General features: G+C 38.4%; 1 long non-coding RNA gene across 4 annotated transcripts in view, besides 1 other annotated feature; it reads left to right on the forward strand.

The window, feature by feature from the left end:
- Window positions 1-19,738, forward strand: part of ZFHX3-AS1 (ZFHX3 antisense RNA 1) — a 156,522-nt gene that overhangs the window by 91,538 nt on the left and 45,246 nt on the right. The window lies entirely within an intron of this gene.
- Window positions 14,062-15,261: an enhancer, noted in NCBI's record as "BRD4-independent group 4 enhancer chr16:72804631-72805830 (GRCh37/hg19 assembly coordinates)". NCBI's record gives its function as "activates an origin of replication core promoter dependent on BRD2, P300/CBP, MED14 and CDK7 cofactors, and independent of BRD4, by STARR-seq in HCT116 cells {active_cell/tissue: HCT116}" and the evidence as "EXISTENCE:reporter gene assay evidence [ECO:0000049][PMID:35650434]".

A 19,738-nucleotide genomic window follows, 5' to 3' on the forward strand; every position in this document is an offset into this window, starting at 1 on the left:
GAGGAACCACCATACTGTTTTCCACAGCAGCTGCAACATGTTACATTTCCACCAACAGTACACAGCTTCCAGTTTCTCCACATCCTTGCCGACATTTGTCTATTTCCATTTTGTTGTTTGTTTTCTATAGTAGCCATCCTAATGTGTGTGAAGGTGGTATCTCATTTGGTTTTTATTTGTATTTCTCTGATGACTAATGGGGTTGAACATCTTTTCATATGCTTATTGGCCATTTGTATATCTTTTGGAGAACTGTCTATCCAAGTCCTTTGCCTATTTTCTAATCAGTTTATTTTTGTGTGTGTTGTTGGGTTTTAGAAGTTCTCTCTATATTCTGTGTATTAACCCCTTGCTAAATATGTGATTTGCAAATATTTTCTCCCATACTGGAGGTGGCTTTTTTACTCTGTTGGTACTGTGCTTTGAGGCACAAAAATTTTAAATTTTCATGATGCCCAACTTGTCTATTTTTTCTTTTCTTTCTTTTTTTTTTTTCCTCGCTCTGTCACCCAGGCTGGAGTGCAGTGGCACAATCTCGGTTCACTGTAACCTCTGCCTCCTGGGTTCAAGCAATTCTCGAGCCTCAGCCTCCCGTGTATCTGGGATTACAGGTGCATGCCACCACATCCGGCTAATTTTTGTATTTTTATTAGGGATGGGTTTTCACCGTGTTGGCCAGGCTGGTCTCGAACTCCTGACCTCAAGTGATTCAGCCTCCTCAGCCTCCCAAAGTGCTGGGATTACAGGCATGAGACACCACGCGTGGCCCAATTTTTTGTTGTTGTTGCCTGTGCATTTGGTGTCATAGCTAAGAAATCATTTGGAATAGAATAGCCTGCTCCACACTATTTTGTTTCCTGTAGCTTTGTAGTAAGTTTTGAAATGAAGAAATGTGAGTACTCCACCTTTGCTCTTCTTTTTCTAGGCTGTTTTGGCTCAAGATTCTGTGTGAATTTGAGGATGATTTTTCTGTTTCTGCAGAAAATGCTACTGAGATTTTAATAGGGATTACATCGAATCTTTGTATCATTTTGGGTACTGTTGACAATTTTAACAATATTAAGCCCTCCAACTCACAGACATGGAATCTTCGCATATATTTATGTCTTTATAAATTTTCCTCAGCAATGTTTTGTAGTTTTCATTGCACAAGTCTTTCATCTAGGTTATCTGATTTGTTGGCATACAGTTGTTCATAGTCTTCGCTTATAATCCTTTTTCCTTTTCTTTTGTTCCTTTTGTTTTTTTTTTTTTTTTTTTTTGAGAAGTGGGATCTCACTATATTGCCCAGGCTGGACCTGAACTCCTTGAAATCCTCTCACCTCAGACTCCTGAGTAGCTGGAACTGTAGGCATGTGTCACTCTGCTGGCTCTTATAATCCTTTTTATTGGTAGTAATGTCCCCTCTTTCATTTCTGATTTATTTGAGACATCTGGTTTCCTTAGTCAATCTAGCTAAAAGTTGTCAATTCTGTTAATCTTTTTGCAATTTTTGCTTCCTATGTTTTGATGCTCTATTGCTGGTGTGTAAATATTTATAATTATTATATCTTCTGCTGCATTAAATTTTTTATTAATACATAATGTCATTCTATGTTCTCTGTAATCTTTTCAAATGTAAAATCTATCTTGCCTTTTATTACTATAGCTCCCCTGCTCCCTTTGGGTACTGTTTACATAGAATATCTTTCTTCATCCCTCTACTTTGAACCTCTTTCTGTCTTTGTATCTAAAGCGAATCTCTTATAGATCACCTGTAGTTGGATTACTTTTTTAAAAATTCATTATGCCAGCCTCTGTCTTTTGATTGGAGAATTTAATCCATTTACGTTTAAAATAATTACCTATACAGCAGGACTCCCTTCTGTTATTTTGCTATTTTTTCTATATGCCTGATAGCTGTTTTGTTCCTCATTTCCTGCATTAGTATTTTTTTTTTATTTTTGGTCATGAGATGTTTTAATTCCTTTTTTATTTACCTTCATGTATCTTCTATAGCTATTTTCTTTGTTGTTATCATGGGTATAACATTTAACATCCTAATGTTATAACACTCTAATTTGAATTTATACTAGCTTAACTTTAATAACTACAAAAATTCTACTCATGTACAGCTTTGTCCCCCTCAATAACTACTTTCAGTTATTGATGTCACAATGGTTATATCTGTATTTGTCTCGTATCATGTAGAAAACAAAAAATGAAGTTTCAAACCAAAGTTACAATAATACTGGTTTTTATAATTGCCTATATTTGCCTTAACTAAGACCTTTATTTCCTCATATGGTTTCATGTTAACTTCTAGTGTCTTTTCATTTCAACCTGAAGAAATCTCTTTACCATTTCTTGAACGGCAGTTCTAGTGGTAATGACCTTCCTCAGCTTTTGTTTATCTGGAGATGTGTTACTTTCTACCTCATATTTGAAGGACATTTTTGCTGGATGTAGGATTCTAGTTGATAGTTTCTTTTTTTCAATACTTGAAATGTATCATCCTACTGCTTTCTACCTCCAAAGTTTCTGATGAGAAATCTACTGATACCCTTATCGAGGAACACTTGTATGTAATGAGTTGCTCTGTCTTGCTGCTTTGAAGATTCTTTTTTATTTCTGTCTTTTTTGAGACAGAGTCTTACTCTATCAACCAAGCTGGAGTGCAGTGGTGCAATCTCGGCTCACTGCAACCTCCGCCTCCCACGTAGCTGGTATTACAGGAGTGAGCCACAACACCCGGCTAATTTTTGTATTTTTAGTAGAGACGGGGTTTCGCCATGTTGGCCAGGCTGGTCTCAAACTCCTGACCTCAGGTGATCCACCTGCCTTGGCCTCCCAAAGTGCTGGGATTACAGGCGTGAACCACAGCACCTGGCCTGAAGATTCTTTGTCTTTTGACAGTTTAATTATAGTATGTCTTGATACTGGCTTCTGATTTCATCCTATTAGCATCAGTTTAGATTCTTGGATTTCTATATTCATGTCTTTCATGAAATTTCAGAAATGTTTGGCTGCCTTTTCTTTCTCTCTTTTCTTTCTGAGATTTTCATTACGTACATGTTGGTCAGCTTAATGGTGTCCCACAGGTCCCTTAGGCTGTATTCACTTTTTTTTCTGTCTTTTGTGTTTCTCAGACTTAATAACTTCAATTGTCCTATCTTCAAGTTTTCTTATTCTTTCTCTGCCTTCTCAAATCTGCCTTTGAATCCCTATACTGAAATTTTCAATTCAGATACTGCACTTTTTAGCCTTGAAACACTTTTGAGGTTTTAAAAAAATGTTTTATATCTCTTTATTGATATTTCCACTTTGTTCATATACATTTAAAACATTTTTCTCCATGTTTTTGTTTAGTTTTTTGAGCATCTTTAAGACCGTTGTTTTAAAGTCTTTGATAAGTCCACCATCTGGTCTTCCTTAGGGACATTTTCTGTTGATTTAGTTTTTCCCTTTGAATGGGCCATACTGTTTTGTTTCTTTTTATGCCTCGTGATTTTTTTGTTGCTGTTGTTGAAAACTGGAGATTTGAATCTTATAATGTGGAAAGTCTGGAAATCAGATTCTCCTTCTTTCTCAGAGTTTGCTTTTCTTTCTTTTTTAAATTGGTATAGGCTGTCTCTGTGCCTGGGATCAGTAAATTTAAGGTTTCTTATGCCTTTTCTCAGCTGGCACCTTTCTCTAAATATGTGTAATTACTTTCTAAATTATCTTTTATATATAGTTGCTTTTGAATGTCCTAGTCCTTAAATATCTGGCTCCCAAAAGGGGAAAAAGAGAAAACCGAAGAGGGGAAATGTGTTGGCTTTTTAAATCTTCTAGAAACTGCTTCAGCCACAGGGGAAGGGGCTTACAGCAATGGTGGTGAGAGTAGCAACAATGGCTTCTCTTTTGTGTGTCTCCACCTCTGCTTTCAGAAGTAGCAGTCAGTCATCAGAGCACAGATCTTCTATATCTGGAGGACAGAGCCCTTATTGCCCATGTCTCTGCAAGTGGTGTATAAGCTGCTGCTGGAACACATGTGTAACTGCCTGTGCTGGGGCTAGTGGGTGGGCAAGCTAGCAGATTAAGAACAGAAATTGAACAAAATTAATTAACTGTCCAAGCCTTTATCTGGAAGTTGCAAGTCTTTGAATAGACTCCAGAGTTCCAGAATAGTTACATCAGCTAGTTTCTGCAGAACAATGTTATCTAGGTAGGGAGACTAATTTCTGCTACTTTCCACTCCACCATCTTCCTGGAATTCTCCTCTCCAGTTCTGATTTCTTTTCATTTTACCATTATTCCTTTAATTTATCCCACATTTTACAATAAACAACATAACAACTTAGACAGTAACTTCAACACTTTGTTCGGAAATCTAAGCTAGATCACCCAGTTCATTCAATGCATATCCTGCTTTCCATGTTACTGAAGGCAATAGTGTTGTTAAGCTTTCTACCATGACATAAAAAGGATCTCTCTTTCACCACCTTCTAATAACATGTTCCTAACTTCCTTTTTTGCCCTTACTGGTGGCATCCTCAAAGTCCAGATTTCTATTAATAGTCTTTCAAGGCAACTTAAGCTTTCTTTAACAGAATCCTCAAAATCCTTCCAGCCTCTGCCCATGTTTGGTTCCAAAGCCAAGGTAGCACCCCACTTCCAAGTACCAAAGTCTGTATTAGTTATCTCTTGCTGTGCAACAGACTGTCCCAAAGCTTAGTGGCTTCAAACAAAAAGCCCTTATTATCTCACAGTTTCTGTGGACCAGGGATTGGGCATGGCTGAGCTGGACTCTCAGACTCAGAGTCTTTTATAAGGCTGTAATCAAAATGTCATTTGGGGCTGCAGTTACCTCAGGGCTCAACTAAGAGAGAATCCACTACCAAGCTTACTCATGTGACTGTTGGCAGGCCTCACGTCCTCATTGGCTGTTGCCCAGAGACATCACTTTTTTCCACTTGGGCCTCTCCACAGAGCATCTCACAGTGGGGCAGTTGGTCTTCCTCAGAGTAAGTAAGGAAGAAAGAAAGAGAGTGAGCAAGATGGAAGCCAGAATTCTTCAGTAACTTAATCTCAGAAATGACATCTCAGTTGTTTTGCTGTGTTCGTTTGGTTACAAGAGAGTCAGTAAGTCTAGCCCACACTTAAGGAGAAGGGATTATACAAAGACATGAATACCAGGAAGCAGGGATTGGGGGCTATTTTAGGGGCTATTTACCATAGTGGGGTATACCTTTAAAACGATTATTATTAAAAAGCATTCCTTTTGAGTAACCCTTTTTGCCCTGAGTGCCTCTTCCCTACAATACTTACCAATATGGTGTATGAGCAGACTTTGGATGTGGTGTATCAATTGTTTAATTTTTTTAATGTAAGGTTGAGCTTATTTCCTTTATTTGAAAGTCAATAGTAAATCATTTTTTTCTGTGAAGGGTCTGTTCTTATCTTTTGGGTACTTTTCTCTTGGATTACTGGTCTTCAGATTATTTGCTTTTGTATTATATGAGGATATTAGCTCCTTGTCTTTCATATGTGTAGATAATATTTTTCACATTTTGTCATTCATCTTTTGATTTTTTTCATGATGTTTGTGCCAACAAATTTTAAAAAACTTTTCATTTAGTCACATTGATCAAGCATCTCTTTTATAGAGGAATTCTGTACTTAAAAAAGAAATTAATTCCTGTATTTCCTGCTAATTTATCTTTGATATCTTGCTATTGCCTTTTATAGGATAAATTTGAATCTCCTTATCCTGATCTTAATCTCATTCTTGCCTAGCTTCTTTCCTTTCACTCTTTGTAGAAACTCTTTACTAGAGTCCCACTGAACTCACGATCCCCAGCATGCTCACCTGTGTTTTTGTTTGACTCCTTCACATGCCTGCGGGAAGATACATAAAGGTAGAGTCTATGTTGGGGGAGCTTTTATAGGTCCAGAGCTTAGTTTGTTGAAGGAATAAATGAATTGAGATGATCAAAGAAGAGTAGTTCAAAAACAAAAGGAAAACATTGCCATTACACTGTTACTTGTTCTTCTAATTCTCACCTTTTCCAAGAAGATAACATAACTGTGATAGTTCAGTTTTATAACTATCTCACAATTTCACAACTGCCATAGTTGTCTGAGACAAAATGTTAAGTAGGTTTCTGTGCCAAAGAAAGCCAGCAGGTAAAGAATTTATGTCCCATTCTGCCTGGTAGCTAAGTGTGCCCAAGTGGTTAGGTTCTGGATAATGGGATATGAGAAGTAATAAGTAAAACTTAACACCTTCAAAATGGAAGGAGTGTGCCCTCCCCTCACTTTTCTCCCTACATGGGAATGTGGGCATGGGAACTGGAGAAGCAATCCGAGACTACAAAATGTAAGCTGTGTGTTGAAAATCAGAAAGCAAAAGGATAGAGGAGTTCCACTACCAGAATTGATGGTGTCATCTTTTCAGCCCCATGCTGCTAATGCTCAGACTGTTATATGAGACAAAAATCAACCACTGTCTTGCTTAAGCCATTAATATTTTGGCCTTTGTTACAGAAGTCAAATCTGTACCCTAACTTATACAGTGCCCTTAGGTGTTACATCCCACCTCTGGGATCATTCCCTGCTAATTCCTTGTGACAAGTTGGTATCAGGCAGCTAGGGAATTGAAAGCATGGGAGGTTTGGATCAAGAAAATGATAAGAATATTATAAAATTGAAGAAAGAAGAGGAGGAGGGTGAGAGAATGTGAGATGAATGTCAGCTGAGGTCATCATTGCAAAGCCACTTGTGATGAGAACTGAAGCCTGCTCCATGACCATGATGAAGAGTCACTCAGGAACCTTTTCAAGATCAGACAGGGATACATGGAAAATGAACCTCTCAGAAGTAGAAAATGAAAGGAGAATGATATGAAGTAATACAAGGAAACACACAGTAAAAGAGCAGGCTAGCCTCTACTTTGCAGCAGTAATGTAATGAGGCCTAAACTCTGTGATTGTTAAAATTAAACAGTAAAAAAATACCAGGGCAGGGGGGAAAGGGCAAAAGATACAATCCTGGCAAAATGGACCCTGGGCTCCTATTTCGGACACCTGGTTTCCATTAATCTCTCATCCCTGTAGATTCTTATGGTGCCTCATGCCTCCCCCTAACCTTGTCCTGAGCTGGTGTGTAAATTAAACCCCTAGGTTTAATCTTTATAATATTATAGGAGGGGGAACAAAGATACTAAAAGTTGAAAATGGAGCCAGATTCCACAGGATCCACATATGTACTAGTAGAATGGCCCAAATAGGTAACAGGGACAAGAGAAAGAACCACCATAAAACCAGATTTTATTTCCTCCTTTGAACCCCTACCTTCCCTTTCCCCTTTCCAAAATATGCATATACAGGTCGTGTTAAGAAAACCCTTTCCAGTTGGCCTTCTTCCAAGACAGGGTGCAGCTGGGCCGAAGGGCCACATGTTGAAGTTATTAATATGCCTATGCCCTTCTCCCCCACTGAGTTCACTGATCAAAGGCTCTGCCAGAGCAGCAGTGGATAGCCTCGCATAATGGGAACTGAAATTTTACTTAAGAAACCAGCTTTGCCAAAACACACTACCTTTCTAAGTGAAACATTCCATGCACATATTAACCTGATTACAGAAAGGAAGGGGGATCTTTTTTCCTTCAGTACCCTGCTAATAATTTTCTGTCAAGTCTGATTTGGCTTTAGCTGCACTCCAAGTTCTTGTGATGTGCCGCGTTCACCAGTAAACTAAAAACAGAAGGTGCTGCATAAACTCTGAGACAGGATACTCTGTCCATGAATGCAGACCCTGCAGAATTCAGTTCCCTGCCAACAAGGAAGGCCAGTGACTTTTCCAGTCTCTGACAACCAGCAGCCTGCCTCTGATTCGCACAGTCGGTGAAGGAAACATATGGAGAAAATGGTGGAAATAATTAAGGGTTCTTGGAGTTAGCAGAAGCATTGACTCATTACACGGGGCCCCTGCCTCAAAAGGGAGTAAACCATTGTGCTTATTAGAGAAAAGAATGAATGGTAACAAAGCATTTTAAAGTCCCAATCAGTTCCAGCCCCAGGTTGAAGGGCTGGTTAGGTAAGAAAAAAGGGAAACAACCCAGATTTAAAGGAAGCGATATCATTTTGCTCTGCTTGATAAATAGGAAAAGGTAGTTTGTGGTTTATTTTACTATATCCCAGGATAATTTGGTTCCTGCACAGCTGACAAAATTTTGTTCTCAGATATGATATCAAAGATCTACATATTATGTAGTTGCCCAAATAGAGGGCCAGTCCATGAAGAGTCTGAATAAAATTGTTGCTTCTCTTTCAGATGTGTCACAGGGCAGTCCTTGTTAGAGGATAGTGAGATGTGTTGAATGGTGTCTTTGGGATCCTCAAGCACAGATTGTAAACTCTGCTTCAAGTTTTACAGTGTCTCAGATTCAAATCTTCTTTGCCTGCAATGATAAACAGAGACACAGCCTTCTCTGAAAACAAATATATCTCATAAGGATGTCCTCCACTTCTCCAGTCCTCATCCCGCACAGCCTATAAGGTGCTGAGCAATTGATAGATCCTAGAAAAGTCCTGAAGTGCTTCAAGCAAACAAAAGGTAAATAAAAGGCAGCAACAGTCCAAGTCAGTCATTTCTAGGCATTTGCTTGAGGCCAGGAGTCTGAGACTGGCCTGGGCAACATAGCAAGACACTGTCTGCTAAATAAGTAAATAAATAAATAAGCAAGCAAGTCGGGTATGGCGGTGGTGCGTGTAGTTCTAGCTACTCAGAAGGCTGAAGCGGGAGGGTTGCTTGAGCCTAGGAGATCGAGGTTGCAGTGAGCTGTGATTGCACCACTGCACTCCAACCTGGGTGACAGAGTGAGACCTTGTCTCTAAACACACACACACACACACACACACACACACACACACATGCGTGCACGCGTGCGCAGAATTTGAGGTTTTTATCTGAAGAAAGGGAACTGTTAGGTAGATATTGGTAGCAAAACTGTCACATAATTAGATACGATATTTCATTCTTAGAACATCTGATGGCCTGGGTTTTTTTTTTTTTTTAATATTTTCTCTCATTATAAGAACTATCACATTAATACAAAGTGGATGTCCTAGATGTCTCAGACTATATGTCTTTACTGGGTTTGGTGTTCCTGTTGACATCCTTTTCTTTGGCTGTCTTTCTAGAATCCTGAAAGACTTGCTGCTTTTCAGATTGAAATATCTCATATTAATGCCAAGATTAACATTCTGTTCTTCTTAGGCAATCAGAAATCGTATTCTAGATTCACACTGTTCATAATTTCTCAAAGTTATGGTAGAGAAGACAGGAACAAGGTCGTTACTTACAAAAATACCCTTGGCCTTTGAATCTCGCCTGTCTGTAGATTCACTCTTTCATGGCATTTAATAAAGAGCATGGCTTTAAAGTGCTGAGTCCAAACCTAAAATTGAATAAATTAATCTGATCTTGAGTGCTTACCTTTATAGAGTTTAGTTGTGCTGGTTATATTTAGATATCAAAATGAAGGAAATAGTGTGTAAATTCCTGCTAGGAAATCACCATTTCTTGTATGTTAATATAGCCAGTCTTTATACCAAATGGAACTTTAAACTAAATAAAAACAAAACACCAAACTATGACTTAGATCATTCTTGAAAAAGAAATATAAGAAGTGAGGTTTCCGAAAATATTTCATTTCCTTCAGTAAATGTCCTTCATTTATCTTTATCATACTATGTTATGGTGTGTTTTACCAAAAGAACATTTCAGCAGATGAAGAAAAAAAAGGCTTGAGCAGCATGACTACCCTCCTTGAGCTTTTGACTACGGAAGTTCATAGAAGAGGAAAAGATGTCCTGTGGTTCCCTCAGTGTATTATAAGGAAGGGCATTTATAATCAGTCACTGGAAGTGGGATCTTAACCCACCCCCATTCCTCCCATACACAAGAGAGGGAGGAAAGGAGAGAGAAAGGAAAGCAAGCGAGCAAGCCTGAGGAGTGTGTACATGTAGTCCTCATTCAAAAAAGGATTTGAGATAGCAAGCTGAGGATGAAGCAAGAGAATAGAACGGGATGACCTAGTGGTGGAAACAACAGCTATACATAATGGGCCTTTAGGAAAGGGGATTAAGTGAAGTATTCTCAGCTGAATCAGTTGTTAACTATTGCATAGAATTTTCTTTCTTTCATATTCCTAACATTAATACATTACTAAAATTTTACTACATTACTAAACACATTACTAAATAGGAGCTTCATTCTGATTGTCTCGATTTTTCCTCCTGTGAGTATTGTCATCTAGAAAAGCTTTTGTGAGTACTTAAAAAGCCCACAGTAATTCACGTACAGCAATCCAAAACAACAAGTAATTTTTAGAGAATGCTTAGGACTGGTTTTTTTGTTGTTGTTGTTTATGTTTTAAGACAGGGTCTTGCTGTATCACTCAGCCTGGAGTGCAGTGGCATGTTCCTAGCTCACTGCAGCCTCAAACTCCTGGCCTCAAGCCATCCTCCTATCTCAGCCTCCTGAGTAGCTGGGACTACTTTCATACACCGCCACGCCCAGCTAATTTTTAAATTTTCTGTAGAGATAGGGTCTTACTGTGTTGTCCAGGCTGCTCTTGAACTCCTGTCTCAAGCAATCCTCCCTCCTTGGGCTCCCAAAGCACTGGGATTATAGGCATTAGCCACAGTGCCATAAGACTGTTTGGGCTGGCTACCTCATGATTCTGGGCATTTGCTTTAGTAGGTTTGCTTTGCCATTTTATTTAAGTGATATGAGTAGGAGTAAATCTCCAGGTTTCTGGGAGAGAAATGCCTTTATCTCCAATAAACATCAGGATGAAACCCAAAGTAGATCAATGGCATACTTTTAAGCCTTGTCAAATAACCTGTTGGGTTTTGTTGTTCGCAAGTAACTTTTCATCACTAGTGTATAAAACTTTACTATGGCATCACTGTACCAAACCAGTTAAAACCAGGGATGTAACCAGCTACAAAACAGCCCAAGGCAATAAGCTGTGGTGTCAGGAAACAACATTTATATTTAAATGTCTTCTTCACTAAAATAAACCTGAGATGGACCAGTTTTCTTGGCCCACTGTAATATTAGGCACATCTGGCATAACATGTAATTCTTGTTTTGTTATTTTTGAAATAACATTTAAAACACATTTTGTAAAAGTAATATACTTGGTATAAAGTTCAAACAGTAAAAAGGGAATACAATACAAATTAAGTCTCTCTCCCATCCCTGATGCTCCCAATTCCTCAAAAGTGACAGTTGTTACTTGTGAGTCCCTCTTATATTCAATATGTGTGCTTGCTTGCACACGCATGCTCTCTCTCATACACTCCCACATAGATACAGTATATATACATATAAAATAAATGTTAGCATACTATGTAACCTGTTCTGCATGTTTTATTTTTTAAAATCCATTTTATTGTAGAAAATACACAAATATAGAAAAGGGCTTAAGACTTAAATGTACCGTTATTAACAATGTACTTGGAAGAGCAGAAGCTTTGAATTTCAAGTCTAATTTGTCAGTTTTCCTTCTGTGATATTTACTTGCTGTGACTAAGCCAAGAATCTGTGATAACCTAAGGTCACAAAGATTTTCTATCTTTTCTCCTTATCCATGTGTGAAAAAAATATAAAACTGGACCTCTATGTAGCATGACTTTAAGGCAGACTGTACACCCAAAATCCCTTTTAGCAAAATAATAAAGTTTTTAGAAGATAATATAGAGGAATATTTTCATGACCTTGGGGTAGGGGGGATTTCTTTAAAAAAAAAAAATCATTTATGAGGCCAGGCATGGTGGCTCATGCCTGTAATCCCAGCACTTTAGGAGGCCAAGGCAGGCAGATCACCTGAGCTTGGGAGTTTGGGACTAGCATGGCCAACATGGTAAAACCTCGTCTCTACTAAAAATACAAAATATTAGCCAGGCATAGTGGTACATGACTGTAGTCTCAGCTACTTGGAAGGCTGAGGCGCCAGAATTGTTTGAACTTGGGAGTTGGAGACTGCAGTGAGCGGAGATCATACCATTGCATTCCAGCCTGGTTGACAGCGTAAGACTCTTGTCTCAAAAAAAAAAAAAAATCATTTATGAGAGCAGGAAATGCTGATAAATTTGACTTTACTAGGAACTTCGTCAGCATATCAAAAGGCATTACGAAGAACACAAAATGCAAGCCACAGAGTAAGAGGAAGTATCTGCAACATGTATAACTAGCAAAGCACTAGCATTCAGAATATACAAAGAACTCCTACATTAGAGAAACAAATTCAAATCACAATGAGATACCAGTACAAACCTTTTAGCAGTACTATAATTTACAAAATTGACAATATCACTCTAGTGGTATTCAAAGCAACTGGAACTTTCATGCATTGTTAGTGGGAGTGTAAAATGGTATCATCATTTTAGAAAACATTTAGGTAATGTATTATCAATTGCTGCATAATAAGTTATATATATTTAGCAGCTTAAAACAACACACATTTATTATCTCACAGTTTGTATGTGTCAGGAATCTAGATGCAGCTTCACTGAGTCCCCTGCCTCAAGGACTCTATCAAAGCCTCAATCAAGGTGTCAGTCACACTTGGGGTCTCACCTGAAGCTCAAACAGGGAAGGATCCTCTTTCAAGGTCATGTGGTTGTTGGTAGGATTCAGTTCCTTGCCTCTATCATTGAAAGCCTCAGTTCATTGCTGCCTATTGGTTGCCCTCATTTTCTTGCCACTGGACTGTGCCATGTGGCAGCTTAATTCATCAGAGCCAAGAAGGATGAGAAGAAAGTCTACTAGCAAGAGAGAAGTTACAAACTTATGTAATGCAGCCATGGGAGTGACACCCCATCACCTTTGATGTATTTTATTGGTTAGAAGCAAGTTACAGGTTCCACCCAGACTCAAGACAAAGGTATTACACAAGGATACACATACCAGGAGGCTAAGATAATTTGGGGCTATTTTAGAGTCTGTCCACCACAGGTAGCAATCTTATAAAGTTATGTGTTATCTGGTTATGTGTTACCATTTACCATATGATCCCACATCTAGGCATTTATTCAAGAGAAATGAAAATATATGTTCATACAAAGATCTATACATGGATGTTTATAACAACTTTATTAAAAATTGCCCCAAACTGGAAATAACCCAAATATTCATAATCTGATGAACAGATAGTTAAATCATAGCATAGCCATACAATGGAACACTATTTTGCAATAAGAAGGAGGTACTGATACATGTAACAACATAGATGAATCTCCAAAGTCTTATGCTTAGTGAAAAAAGCCAGACACAAAAGGCTACATACTATATAATTCTGTTTATATTATATCCTATAAAAGGCATAGCTACGGGGAAAGAACACAGATTAAGATTAGTCATTGCCTAGGCTGGGGATTGGAAGGGCATTAACAACAAAGGAGGGAACATTATGGTGGTAATGGAAACAATTTAGTATTTATTTTTATATTTACTGGTGATTACACAGTAAAATATGTGTGATTACACACACACATATTTGTCAAAACTCATAGAACTGTGTACCTGAAAAGGATGATTTTTTTCTGTATGTTGATTATACCTAAATAAATATGACTTAAGCAAGTAAAAACATTAGTACTCAAGGATTTTTGTTGTTGTTGTTAAAGACAATAGAGTTTGAAGTTTGGCTAATGGATATATTCTATTTTGCTAATGAATTTTTGAAAATTAAAATATATTCATCTTTTTTCTGAATGTTGTTTTCCCCTCTATGGCAAAAATGCCTTCTCAATTTATTGACCATGTATTGAACTCATGGAATATTCGCCTCTCATTTGCCTTGTAATTTTGAGTATTAAATACAAATTCATAAATGCCTAAGACTTAAAACCATCATTATTTACATATAAAGGCTAATGATAATAATTATTCTCACTTCCTGGACAAAACAAGAACTTTAAAAGATTTTTAACTTCATTTACCCTCTCCTAATCTAAATGCTAATGTTGTGCATTTTATTTCTATATAGTTTTTTTCAAGTTACACAGTTATTGTTTCATACTATATGTATTCATTTAGATTTGCCTATGTACAGTTTCAATATTTTTAAAATGTTCATGTCTTTTTTGTATCAGATCTTCTGTCTAGGACCATTTTCCTTCTAATTGAAGTACATTCTTTAATCAGTCTACAAGTGGCAAACTCTGTTTTTGTTCATTTAAAAATGTGTTTATTTTGCCTTTATTCTAAAATTATCCTTTTCTGGGTATAGGATTCTATGTTGGTAGTTATTTTATTAGAGCATATTGAAGATATTATTCTACTGTCCTCTGGCTTCCATTGTTTGTGTTGCATAACCAATTGACTATCTAAAAGCTATTTCTTTGAAGGTAACAAGTCTGCTTTCTATGCCTACTTTGGCCTCAGTTTTCTGCATCCTCACTATGATATGTATACTTCTTTTGTTTTCTTTTTTGTAAAATTTTTCTTTTTTTGAAGATACAATCTTGCTCTGTTGCCCAGGCTGGAGTGCAGTGGCAGGATCTCAGCTCACTGCAACCTCCGCCCCCTAGGTTCTTCTGCCTCAGCTTCCTTATTAGTAGCTGGGATTACAGGCATGTGCTAACATGCCTGGCTAATTTCTGTATTTTCAGTAGAGACGGGGTTTTGCCATGTTGGCCAGGCTGGTCTCGAACTCCTGGCCTATATAATTATTTTCTTTACTTCCCTGTTCTTCTTCTACTTTCCATTGTACTTTGAATCTCTGGATTTGTCTCTTTCAATATTTCTAGAAAATTCTCAGCTGTTATCTCTTCAAATACTGGCTCTTTACCATTGTCTTTCTCTTCTCCATCTGGGACACTGACTGAATATATGTCAGACCCTCTCACCATGTGCTTTATATATCTTACCCTTTCATCTGTATTTTCTCTTTTTCTCTCTATGTTCTGCATTTTAGGTAAATTCTTCTGATCTGTTTTCTGATTCATTAATTATTTAACTATGCCCGGTCCACTGTTAAATTCATTGAGTCCTTAATTTTAGTTATTGTATTTTTGTCATTTGAATGTTACTTTCTTGTCCAGTGACTACATCCCTAAGCTCTTTTTAAAATTTCTTCAGGTATATTCCGCATAGTCATTTCATTCTCTGCATTTGATCATTTGAACATTTAAGTCATTAAGGCTCTATTTCTGTTGTCTCCTGTTTCTCACTCATGGAGTCTTAATTTCCTTGTGTTTTATTTATCTTTGTGAGCTGATACTGAGAGGTGAAGCCAACTGGACTTCCTGGGTTGAGTGGGGACTTGGAGAACTTTTCTGCCTAGCTAAAGGATTGTAAACGCACCAATCAGCGCTCTGTGTCTAGCTAAAGAATTGTAAACGCACCAGTCAGCACTCTGTATCTAGCTAAAGGATTGTAAATGCACCAATCAGCACTGTAAAAATGCACCAATCAGCGCTCTGTGTCATCTAAAGGATTGTAAACACAGCAATCAGCACTCTGTAAAATGGACCAATCAGCACTCTGTAAAATGGACCAATCAGCAGGACATGGGCAGGGCCAAATAAGAGAATAAAAGCTGGCCACCTAAGCCAGCAGTGGCAACCCACTCGGGTCCCCTTCCACCCTGTGGAAGCTTTGTTCTTTTGCTCTTCACAATAAATCTTGCTGCTGCTCACTCTTTGGGTCCACACTACGTTTATGAGCTGTAACACTCACCTCGAGGGTCTGTGGCTTCATTCCTGAAGTCAGCGAAACCACGAACCCACTGGGAGGAACAAACAACTCCGGACGCACCACCTTTAAGAGCTGTAACACTCACTGCGAGGGTCTGCGGCTTCATTCCTGAAGTCAGTGAGACCACGACCCCACCGGAAGGAAGAAATTCTGAACATCTGAACATCTGAAGGAACAAATTCTGGACACACCATCTTTAAGAACTATAACACTCAACACGAGAGTCCTTGGCTTCATTCTTGAAGTCAGCAAGACCAAGAACCCACCAAAAGGAATAAATTCCAGACACAATACTGTGTTTTTGAAAATTATTTGTAGAGATAATTTTAGGTATATAATGAATGTACCTTCTGCTAGTGAAGCTTTATATTTGCTGTGTCAGGTAACTGTGGCTACTATCAGTCCAGAAAACCAATTTTAAATCTTGAGATTCCACGGATTTCCTGGTGAATTGGAACTCAGACTGTCAATCTGGATGAGGCCTGTTCTATGTATGGATTACCCGTTGAGGCTACCTCAAGATTGTAGCCTCTTTTGGTCCTAGTTTATTGTGTAAGGTGTCTCCTGTTAGAATCCTCTTTTGTAGGGGCCCGGGACTTTAAATTTCGTACTTTTTCCTTTAATGATGCTTTCTTAATATTATGAAATTTCTAGTCATGATCAAATTTCTAATTGTCTTAAATATCGTAACTTTAAAAAATATATAGTTTGAATCAGGATCCAATTACATTTACATTGCCATTGTTTTTAAAAATAAGGTTTTTAGGTATATTTTAATGCATAAGCTTTTTCCTTCCAATGCCTTCATTCTCATTGCAATTTATTTGAAAAAGATATCTCTTTGTTTAATATAGAGAGTTTCCCACAGTCTACTTTTGGTTTATTGCATCCCTGTGCTATAGTTTAATGTGTTCCTCTATTCTCTATATAACTTTTGTATTAGTTTTCTAGGGCTGCCAAAACAAATATCATAGACTGGAAGAATTAACAGAAGTTTATTTCTTCACAATTCTGGAAGCTGGAAGTCCACAATCAAGATGTTGGCCCTTCTGAAGGCCTCTCTTCTTGGCTTGTAGATGGCTGTCGTCTTGTGGTGTCTTCATGTAGTCTTATCCCTGGGCCTGTCTGTGTCCCTATCTCTTCTTCTTATAAGTCATGTTGTATTAGGGCCCACTTCAATAAGCTCATTTAAGTTTACCTCTTTAAATACCCTAGCTCCAAATACAGTCACATTCCTAGGACTTCAACATCTGAATTTGGGGTGGGGAGTGAGGGGAGACACAATTCAGCCTGTAACACCTTAGGAATTCATAGTTGGATCTAGAGACAAGATCTTGGTCTGTTGCCCAGGCTGGAGTACAGTAGCCCAATCACGGCTCACTGTAGCCTTGCCCCCGCCCCCACACCTGGCTCAAATGATCGCCCCACCTTAGCCCCCCAAGTAGCTTGGACTTCAGGTGCATGCCGCCATTCCTGGCTACCTAATAAAAAGATTCGTTGAAACAAGGTCTTGCTATGTGGTCCAGACTGGTCTGAAACTCCTGGGCTCAAGCAATCCTCTCACCTTGGCCTCCCAAAGTGCTGGGATTACAGGTATGAGCCACTGTGCCTGGCTAATGTTATACTTTTCCATAGATAGTGACATGATGTTTGGTTGCTGCTTTTTTATAACATTGTGTGTAGAACAGTAGGGAGTAAGGTAAATAGTATTTATGCCCAGATAGGGACATGCTTTTTGTTTGTTAGGAGATTGAGTCAATAAATCAAGAAGAGTAACCTCAGTATACCATAGACTTCACATCCTCTAATTGTGGGCTGCTGCTGCCCTGTGTTTCGGGTGGAGGCTTGGGTATCATACAGTGGGTTTTTCTCACTCAGCGTTAGGTTCATGGTAGGAGCAGGAAGTGGGTATTCTTGGTGATCCAGGTCTAGCATCCATCTTAGGCAGGCCCTGGCAAAAGGGCTTGGCAGTGGGCTTTCTCCGTGTTCCTGCTCCTCCTCTCCATAGCAGCAAACGCTACTCTGAGTTGTTGGTGTTGAGCAAGAGTTTTCCCAAAAGGACTTTCTCCATGTTCCTGCTCCTCCTCCCCATAGCAGCAAACTCTACTCTGAGTTGTTGGTGTTGGGCAAGAGTTTTCTGTTTCTCCCTTAGTGGTAGCAGATATCTGATGCGTATTGGTGTAGGATCCTGTACCCATGACCTTTTCCTGCTCCTGCCCCTGCCCTAGGGGTGTAGAGTTTTTTCCTTCTACCCTCTTTCCTCGCCACAAAGTGTCTTTTGCCTGTGTCCATGGGGCAGTAGGGTTAGCTATCCCTTCCTCCAGTGCTTTTGCTTTGTAAGGGAGAAGGTCCTCTGAAACAGGCTGTGCTTAATGCTTGTTTCCTAACATTAGCTGATCACCTCCAGTAGGCCTGGTAGAGGCCCATAGAAAAGAGTAGCAAGTGAGTGCTAAACTCACTCATCTATGCCTGTGAGTGCTAAACTCACTCATCTATGCCTGTCCCCACCCTCATCCTAGGTATTCCATACTGAACTAGCCTTCAGTTGGTCATTAACATTTTGTCACATTTGTACTTGATTTCTTATAGATTTTTAGAGTGGCCCTTTCTCCTATGCTGTGCTAAAGGTAAGATAGTTGTGAGTCTTCTTTCTTCCTGAAAGGGCTTGCTCCTTTTTGGAATTCAGTTTTCTTCATTGTTATCTAACCTCAGCTCTCTGATGGATTCAAGAAAAATGATAATTTTGTAGATTTTTCTAATTCTGATGCTGTTCTTTTATATCTTTTATCTTTTAAAAACTTTTTCATTGGCTCATTTTGAAATATTTGGCTATATAACTTATCTATTTTAAAGGCATGTCTTTCATTAACTGCAAGAAGGTTATTCTGCTCTTTACCATTTTTTCTTATAATAAATTTTTATGGAATTCAACAACAGTCCTTTTCTGTTGGTCATTTTCATGTGTAACTAGTTTTCTGAATTTTAGGAGGAACAGATAGGTTGGGGTAACTTTTTTAGCTTCACAGTTCCAGTGGTCCTGCTAGCTTTATGTTGTTTTCATGAAACATTCAAGAACATGGCCTCATTCTCCGAGGATTCTTGGTCTCTTCCCCTCCCTTTGTTTTATCTTCAGTCTCTCATGCCCCTGTCTTGCTCAATTTGAATTATCTTGCCTGTAGTTTCTTCTTACTGTGGGGTTTTGTCCTAAAAGGGAACTTCAGTTTCATCCCTTTCAGATCTTACCAGAGATCCCTTGCCTTGCCCCAAGCCCCCTGTCCCCACAATTGGAGTATGAAAAACTCTTGTAGTCTTCCAGATCACGTAGCTCCACTAAATGGAGCTCAAGAAGTCTGCATCTCTCTTTTCTGTACTCAATTTCTTTCTATTGCATTTATACATGACATGGAAATTTTATTGGTATGAGATTTTACAGATAGAAACATCATAAAAATGTTTCATGTGGCTGAACACAGTAACCTCAGCACTTTGGGAGGCTGAGGTGGGAGGGTTGCCTGAGGCCAGGAGTTTGAGACAAGCCTGGGCAACATAGTGAGACCATGTCTCTATTTAAAAAAAAAGGAAAAATCCAGGTATCTTTTCTTTCCCCTAATCCACCAGCTAGTAAAGACTGAAGGCAGATTTCAGACTTCTTAATTATCTAACTCTCTATTAGGGTTATATTCTGGTATTTTTTCTAGGTTTAGGGTAAGGCCTAGCTTTCAAATATTCTACAAACATTTCTATTTTAATTAGAAAAACATAACCATGTAACTCCTTTCAAATAGTATTTAACACCACCCTTCAACTTGGAGACAGCTATAAAGGATTTTGTTTGGTACTTCCAAATATCTAGACTGTTTTTTATTGTAATCATTTTCTCCCTTAAAATGTTTACCTAGCATAGTTTTTAATCTGTCCAATTTAATTTTTAAACTGATTTCGATTCTCCATTACTCCTCTGCTTACTGAAAAATGTCTCTCTCCTTCTACTTTACAGAGGGTT

Source organism: Homo sapiens, chromosome 16 (genome assembly GCF_000001405.40).
Source record: "Homo sapiens chromosome 16, GRCh38.p14 Primary Assembly".
NCBI classification, from domain to species: Eukaryota; Metazoa; Chordata; class Mammalia; order Primates; family Hominidae; genus Homo; species Homo sapiens.